At 48.7% G+C, this 7,737-nt stretch overlaps 1 protein-coding gene and 1 long non-coding RNA gene across 9 annotated transcripts in view, besides 4 other annotated features; both read left to right on the top strand.

The window, feature by feature from the left end:
* Positions 793–1,087: a silencer, noted in NCBI's record as "tiled region #12465; K562 Repressive DNase matched - State 5:Enh". NCBI's record gives its function as "represses a minimal TATA promoter and a strong SV40 promoter by Sharpr-MPRA in K562 cells {active_cell/tissue: K562}" and the evidence as "EXISTENCE:reporter gene assay evidence [ECO:0000049][PMID:27701403]".
* The window catches only part of BIN2 (bridging integrator 2), a 43,631-nt gene continuing 39,417 nt past the window's right edge, over positions 3,524–7,737 (top strand). For 7 of the 8 annotated variants that reach the window (XR_001748746.2, NM_001290008.2, NM_001364781.1 and 4 more), the window contains exon 1: positions 4,018–4,170. Coding sequence is in view for 6 of the 8 variants with exons in the window: in NM_001290008.2 (NP_001276937.2) it covers positions 4,090–4,170 (81 nt within the window). In the remaining 2 variants the exon portion in view is untranslated. Of the gene's footprint in view, positions 3,680–4,017; positions 4,171–7,737 lie in introns of those variants that run through there. The other variant, NM_001290007.2, reaches the window with a different exon arrangement.
* Positions 3,783–4,272: a silencer, noted in NCBI's record as "silent region_4466". NCBI's record gives its function as "represses an Ori minimal core promoter by ATAC-STARR-seq in GM12878 lymphoblastoid cells {active_cell/tissue: GM12878}" and the evidence as "EXISTENCE:reporter gene assay evidence [ECO:0000049][PMID:35858748]".
* LOC105369767 (uncharacterized) lies at positions 4,184–5,824 on the top strand. The gene is made up of 2 exons (XR_944957.3): positions 4,184–4,464; positions 4,989–5,824. It is a non-coding gene; the product is annotated as an uncharacterized LOC105369767 (long non-coding RNA).
* Positions 4,303–4,492: an enhancer, noted in NCBI's record as "active region_6377". NCBI's record gives its function as "activates an Ori minimal core promoter by ATAC-STARR-seq in GM12878 lymphoblastoid cells {active_cell/tissue: GM12878}" and the evidence as "EXISTENCE:reporter gene assay evidence [ECO:0000049][PMID:35858748]".
* Positions 7,253–7,547: a silencer, noted in NCBI's record as "tiled region #8177; HepG2 Repressive non-DNase unmatched - State 24:Quies". NCBI's record gives its function as "represses a minimal TATA promoter and a strong SV40 promoter by Sharpr-MPRA in HepG2 cells {active_cell/tissue: HepG2}" and the evidence as "EXISTENCE:reporter gene assay evidence [ECO:0000049][PMID:27701403]".

Below are 7,737 nucleotides of genomic sequence, written 5' to 3'. Positions count from 1 at the left end.
GGTTCGTGGAAAATTGTCTTCCACGAAACGGGTCCCTGGTGCCAAAAAGGTTGGGGACCACTGATTTAGAAGAAATGCAGTTATAGGATCCAAGTTGGATTTCACCACATCTGCAGGCTGGGTCTTCCCTTTGCTGCTACCTCTACCAGTCCACAACACAAACCCAGTGGGAGTAGCTTTATGTTATCCATTTTGGGTTACTTTAGGATCTATGTATCCACTAATCTGTCCATCTGCCCTATTCCTGTGGATATTTGCTATATTCGAAGGCACAGAGCTACTTGGGAGGCTGAGGCAGGAGAATCGCTTGAACCCGGGAGGTGGAGGTTGCAATGAGCCAAGATTGCACCGTTGCACTCCATCCTGGGCAACAAGAGCGAAAGACCATCTCAAAAAAAAAAAAAAAAAAAAAAGGTTCCCGAGTGGGCTGGGTACGGTGGCTCACGCCTGTAATCCCAGCACTTTGGGAGGCCGAGGTGGGTGGATAACGAGGTCAGGAATTCGAGACTAGCCTGGCCAAGATGGTGAATCCTCGTGTCTACTAAAAATACAAAAATTAGCTGGGCACAGTGGCAGGCGCCTGGAATCCCAGCTACTCAAGAGGCTGAGGCAGGAAAACTACTTGAACCCAGGAGGTGGAGGTTGCAGTGAGCTGAGATCGTGCCACTGCACTCTAGCCTGGGCAACAAAGCAAGACTCCGTCTCAAAACAAACAAACAAAAAACTTCCTGAGTGACTGAATGTGCCCTGTCTTTCCCAGGTATACTGTGGGTTCATCCTTCTTTTGTTTCCCCCTTTAGTGCCTAAAACGAACGCCCACTCCAAGTTTCTGGGTGATGGCAACTACTAGGATACACCAGAGATAGAAGTATAAGATTAGGAGGCAGGGCAGATACCAGCAGACTAAGAAAGTGACAAATTAGAAAGGAGACTGGAGAAAATCGCTTGGGCCTGGGAGGTGGAGGCCGCAGTGAGCCAAGATTGCGCCACTGCATTCCAGCCTGGGCAATGAAGTGAGATTCTGTCTCAAAAAAAAAAAAAAACAACAATGGAGACTGGAGAGCTAAGAATAGAAAAAAGGAGAGAAGAGAAGATACTAAACAAAGAAACGAAAGGGTTGAGGGGAAGAGGCAGAACAGAAAGGAAGAGGCAACAACAACATAGGGCCTCAAGCTAAGTGTGAATCAGCACTTTAAGGCTGGGACTAAAATTAGGCAACCGGATCCAGGGTTCTATAAACCACAGAGAACTGGGAAACTGATAATTCTGCTGTATCCTGGCCAGGGCTCAGTCTGTTAGAGTGGCCTATGAGAAAGCAAAGGGGGAACTGAAAGGGGAAGGCTAAAAAGGATGAGAAGCAGCTTTTCATGTCAATCACTTAAGACCAGACAAGAGGGACTAGGGTATTAAACATTACAGAAGGAGAAACTGGCTGAGACAGACCCTGGAATTGACAGGCTCAGCAGAGGCCTCTAGAACACTCCATGTGCTATAAGAGGCTGAGTCTGTTCCCATCCCAGTTCCACCACTGAGGAGCTGGGTGGCTGTGGTCAAGTCATCAGCCCTTTCTGTGACTCAATTTCCCTATCTAATTAACTTCTAAGGGTTGTTTCTTCTCTAACACTACATGATTTGGTGACCATCAATTTCAGTTTGCAAGATATTGGCACTAAACAGAGTTTCTTAGGAGACAGTGGCTGGGTTGCATTGCTGAGGATGCCATGTAGTCCTGGCAGGGACACAGGTACTGGCCTCCTTCTGCCAGTGACACACCTGTTAGCATTGCCATCTACTCTCAGTGTTCCCGCAGTACTGCTATTCTCCATGCTTCTCCCCACTTCTCCCCATCCAATATCAAGTCCTTCTATTTTCATCACCCTGCCTCTTCCAGGGCATCACCAAAGCTAACATCCAGAATAAACCCTAATCGCCTGGCAGGGCAAGGTGGTTCACACCTGTAATCCCAGCCCTTTGGGAGGCTGAGGCGGGTGGATTGCTTGAGCTCAAGAGTTCCAGATCAGCCTGGGTAGCCAGGAGTGGTGGCATGCACGCACCTTAGTCCCAGCTACTCAGGAGGCTGAGGTGAGACCATCACTTGGGCCTGGGAGGTAGAGGCTGCAGTGAGCCCTGATGGCACTGCTGCACTCCAGCCTGGCAACAAAGCAAGACCCTGTCTCCAAACAAACAAACAAACAAACAAACCCTAATCACCTATTCCCAGAAAATTTTGTATCCATCTCTACAAATAAATTAAGCACATTACATTAGAATCACCTGATTACCCACCTATCTCCACTTCCAGACTTTAAGCATCTTTATTTATGTACTTATTTATTAATACTTATTCTTTATTGGTTGAGAAAGGGCCTCACGCTTTGCCCAGGCTGGAATGCAGTGGCACCATCAGGGCTCACTGCAGCCTCCACCTCCCTTGGCTCGGGTGATCCTCCCACCTCAGCCTCCCTGATAGCTGGGACTACAGGTGTGTGCCACCACGCCCAATTAATTTTTGTATTTTTAGCAGAGAGAAGGTCTTGCTATGTTGCGCAGGCTAGTCTCAAACTCCTGGGCTCAAGCAATCTGCCTGCCTCAGCCTCCTAAAGTGTTGGGATTACAGGTGTGAGCCGTGGTGCCCGGCCAGACTTCATTAAGCATCTTAAGGTCAGGGACTGCATTTTATTCATCCTTGTTTCAGAACACCCAGCAATGCCTGGTACACAGTTGACCTTGAGTGCAGTAATGATTGTTTTGGAGAAAGAAGAGGAACACAGTAGCATACAAGGGCCTCTAATTTTGTGTCAGGCCCTATCTTCCCCCTCCACTCCTTAGGAAGTGTTATTTTGACCTTCTTCCCTGCCTTGAGGAAATTTTAACCTGCACTGTAAAATCTGAGTACGTGGTTCCTCCACACCTAGTGTCCTAATCTCAAGCTATCCCCTCAAACAGGTCAGGGAGGAATTTTTTGGAGAACTTCTCCCTAAAGAAACAATAGTTGTCATCTCAACAGCCGCACCCCAATTTGCACAATCTGTGTCTGTGTTCACATTCTGCCTCCATCCAGTACACTGTACTCCAACTAGAAAAACTTGCTCCTCATGCTCAGCACGGGCGTCCATACTATCCTCCTCAGCCTTTTTTCAATGTGATCATTCTCTTGCCTAAGAACCAGCCCCCTACCCTGTTTCTATCTCCAGCTTAGTTGTTCCTCATTTATTTATTTATTTATTTATTTATTTATTTATTTATTTGAGACGAACTGTCGCTCTGTCGCCCAGGCTGGAATGCAGTGGCGCGATTTCGGCTCACTGCAACCTCTGCCTCCCGGGTTCAAACAATTCTCCTGCGTCATCCTCTCGAGTAGCTGGGACTGCAGGCGTGCGCCACCACACCCAGCTAATTTTTGTATTTTTAGTAGCGACGCGGTTTCACCGTATTGGTCAGGCTGATCTCCTAACCTCAGGCGATCCACCCGCCTCGGCCTCCCAAAGTGCTAGGATTACAGGCGTGAGCCACCGCGCCCGGCCTGTTTCTCTCTTTCAAGCCCGGCTCGGGTGTCCTGCCTGCTTTCTGCACTCTATCCCTACCAGTTCCAGGCTTAGAGCCTACCTGGAGCAAGAAACGCAGTGTACATGGCGGCTTCGCATGCATACTCAGAGAACCTAAACGTGTTTTCGATATGGTAGGTCCTCTCGCTGAGTGGAACCCACATCATTTTCTACCCTGCGGTGGCAGTTGCTTTGCAGTGCTCAGCGTGATGGGAACTGGCTTTCCGGAGCGAGTGAGTGTGGGCCCACCACTGAGGACCTGGTTCAGTGAGGCCGAGGTTTCGGGCAGGGGTTGGAGCTCGGAAGCTGGCCTCGAGCGAGCGCTGCCTGAGGGTAGGCCCCGGGCCCGCCCCTCCGAGCCGGCCTGCTCCAGCTGACAGTGGTGGGCTGAGGGGCGGGCCTCAGGGCTGGCCAGGGGCGGCCTGAGGTGGCTCAGGGCTGGGGCCGGATGCGAGGCATGCCGGGAGCCCGCACTTCCTCCTCGGGGGCCTCAGAAAACCACAGGGCGCGGGGCCAGGGCGGCGGCCCCCAGGGAGTTGGCAGGATGGCAGAGGGCAAGGCAGGCGGCGCGGCCGGCCTCTTCGCCAAGCAGGTGCAGAAGAAGTTTAGCAGGGCCCAGGAGAAGGTAGGTGGCCGGGCCTCGCTGTCTGTCTGGCCCACAGGGAGCCGAGGCCGAGGCCGAGCCCGGCCGGGCAGGAGGGGCGGGCAGGGTGCTCAGGGGCCCCGAAGGGTCTGGGCTGACGAGAAGGGTCTCCCGCTCTCCCAGGGAAACGGGAGCGAGGAGTGGGCTTCCATGAAAACTGGCAGATTGGAGAGAGGTCGGAGACCGCCACCCGATCTTGGGCAAGGATAAGGGAAGCTGGGGAGACAACAGTCTCTGGGCAGAACCTTCGACAACCCTCAGGCTGACCCAGAAAAGGTGAAAGAAAGGAAGTGATGGTGGTGGCCACCTTTGTATCAAATTTTGTGCTAGCAATCCAAAATTGGTATTTTACAGATGATGAAATTGGAGGGTAATTTTCCATAGAGGGCAATTTCCCCAAAAACAGCGATGCAGCGGATGCCAGCAGGCACCCCCCACCAAAGGCTTAGAATAATCCTGCATAGTTCTCCCCCTACCTGACCCTGCCTGGCCTCTGGGTGGTGTTTCAGCTGACGTAAGCAGGAGCCCAAATCTGCTTCTTCTACCCTCCCTTTGGCGTTGGGGAGTACACCTCCCAGGGTGATGAACCACATCTGTGTTCAGAGTGTGTCCTTGGTTAGTGTCAGGTAGCCCTGCTCCAGCACTGGCACTTAGGTGGGCTGCCCATCTATTACTTGCTTGGCAATCTAAATTGTGGGGACATTCTCTACACATTTTGATGGCATTTTTGTTTCTACCTGTACAGAATATTTTCTTTGCTTCTAACCTGAGCCTCTGCTCTCCACCTACCAACCCTCTAGTAGACAAGGCGGTTTGGGAAGACATGTCAGCCAGAAGAAAGAGCGAGGGAAGAAAGACAAGAAGGACCTGAGATAGAGTTTCGGTTTTCCTTTTTTTCTCTCTCTCTTTATTAAGCCCAACCTGCCTTCTACAACGGAGAAGTTTTGGTTTTCTAAGAGCTGATGGACTTAGAAGCATTTGGATGAACAGCTCTGCTTACCAACTGAAATATCCCTATTATCTTCTAAAAGTGGAGCACTGCTTTGAGCCCTGGGAAGGCTTAAAGGCAACCAGCTCTCCCGAGTTGATTTATCAGCAGAAAACTGATGGAATGTAGATGTAGCTCCTGACTTTAAGAGACCACAATGGAAGGGAGGTTATTTTCTATCATTTGAGGTCATGTGAAAGAGAGGAGGAAAAGGGAAAGAGTTCGTGTAGCCAGACTTCGTTACTTCACTTACCCTAACTTCACCTTGATCCTAGTTTCAGCCTCTCTGAAGACTTACAAATCTGGTAGACCCGAGAGCAGGGCCTATGGGAAGGTCTAGCTCGAAACAGTGTGGGCGAGCAGGAGGTACTGGAGAGAAGGCCACACTGTGGTTGAAAAAAAAAAAAACCCTAAAAGACAAAACACTCATGAATGATAGTAATTTTAAAAAGACATACCAGCCAGGCACAGTGGCTCACTCCTGTAATCCCAGCACTTTGGGAGGCCAAGGTGGGAGGACTGCTTGAGCCCAGGAGATCAAGACTGCAGTGAGCAGTGATCACACCACACCACACTCAAGCAGAGGGAGACTCTGTCTCAAAAAATAAAAATAAATACATAAAAATAAAAGACATACAATTGATTGTATTTCACTCTTGCATCTTCTGTCTTCATCTAGCCTCTCGTCAACACTAAAACCTTGCTTTGGGCTTTCACTCCTTTGTAAGCATAGACTCCAAACCTTGGCTAAATAATGTCCTGCTCTGGGCTTCAGATCTTGCACCTGTAAAATGAGAGGGTTGATGTTCTTGATGAAACTCAATATGGTAAGAACACTAAATTGAAAAGCTGTCACATTAGACTCAGAGTCAAATACTTCCCAAAGACAGAACCAGTCTCTCAGGTTCTTCTGGCCTGAACCCTGAGGAAGTAGAGAAAGAGGAGCAAACTCAAATCTGCCATGAGGAATTCCCAGCTGATGAAGAAAACAAGATATTCTGAACCTAGACTAGACAAAAGGGTAGGCAAAGGTTGAACTTCGATAAGGTGGGAATGGCCTGGGATGCCGGAAGGGAGCTCAGCTCCGTCAGCCTGAAGCCAGTCCTTGAGTCTTGGGAAGTTATTGAGACCAAGATAAAGAGGGAGAAATTTGCACTAAAATGAAAGAATTCCTTGCAACACTTTTTGCTTTTTCTGCAAGCAGTTGGATGTAATCTTCTGAGTAATAAGTAATAGCTAATGTGTCAAATAGTGAAATGTGTCAAATATCAAGCGCCTATTATGGACCAGAGACAGGGATATAAGAAAGTGATTATCAGCGGGGTGCAGTGGCTCACGCCTGTAATCCCAGCACTTTGGGAGGCCCAGGCAGGTGGATCTCCTGAGGTCGGGAGTTCGAGACCAGCCTGACCAACATGGAGAAACCCCGTCTCTACTAAAAATACAAAATCAGCCGGGTGTGGTGGCGCATGCCTGTAATCCCAGCTACTCAGGAGGCTGAGGCAGGAGAATCGCTTGAACCTGGGAGGCGGAGGTTGCCGTGAGCCGAGATCGCGCCATTGCACTCCAACTTGTGCAACAAGAGCAAAACTCTGTCTCAAAAAAAAAAAAGACAAAGTGATTCTCTCTCCCTTTATGGAGCCAACATTCTACCGATGTCATCTCCCTTCATCTATTCAACACTTTAAGCAGGTTATTAGCATCTCTGTTTTAGAAATAAGGAAACAAGGCTCAAAAGAGATTGGTAGGTAGCAGAAATATTACTGAAACCCAGGTGTCCTGCCTCTGAATCCTAACCTCACTCAGGCTGCTGCTTTACAACGTTCCTGATAAGCCACTCTCACATCTGTGCCTCCCCCACTTCCTGCTGATCCTCTCTCAGGAACAGAGCTCAGAAGTAGAAACACTTTTTGTTCAGGCATCCTCTGAAAAGCTGGGAGTGGAGGTCTGGTGACCATTAAACACAATAGGGATGAAACATTCTTGGTCTGTTTTCCATTTCCCGCCCAAACTCAACATGGGACTGAATTTAAGCTGGCTTTAGAGTGTGTGTGTGTGTGTTTGTGTGTGTGTGTGTGTTTTTAGTATGATACATCTTCTCATTTCCAACTATAGTACTGCTTTCACCATCTGTTTGTGATTTCTCTGTGGCAAACCTCTCAGATCCCCCTGAGAAGGGGCGTTGTTTACCACTCCTTTGTTGGTCTTCTCCTCTGTTGACATCTACTCAGCTTAAATCCCAGAGGGTTAAATTCCACAAATATTTACAGAAAAACTCCTTTGTTCAGGGTACTGGGCTGGACCCAGCAGGGAATTTAGGGGTAAGAGACATTCTTGCTTTGCCAAAAGCTTAAGATCTAGTTAAAAAAAAAAAAAAAAAAGAATAATGATAATAAAATAACTGACCTGAGAGATGCAGGTCTATTCAGAGGACAAAAGGATTGGGGAGAATCGAGAGGTTTTATAGTGGAGGCTGAATTTGAAATAGGAATTATGGGAGATTAGTAGTTTTTCAGACACGTGATCAGAGAGCATTCTAGCTGAGAAGTGCCAGCATAAGC

The sequence above is a fragment of the Homo sapiens genome, chromosome 12 (genome assembly GCF_000001405.40).
Source record: "Homo sapiens chromosome 12, GRCh38.p14 Primary Assembly".
Classification (NCBI taxonomy): Eukaryota; Metazoa; Chordata; class Mammalia; order Primates; family Hominidae; genus Homo; species Homo sapiens.
Note: the sequence above shows the minus strand (reverse complement) of the source record. Positions and strands in the feature narration are given on the sequence as shown.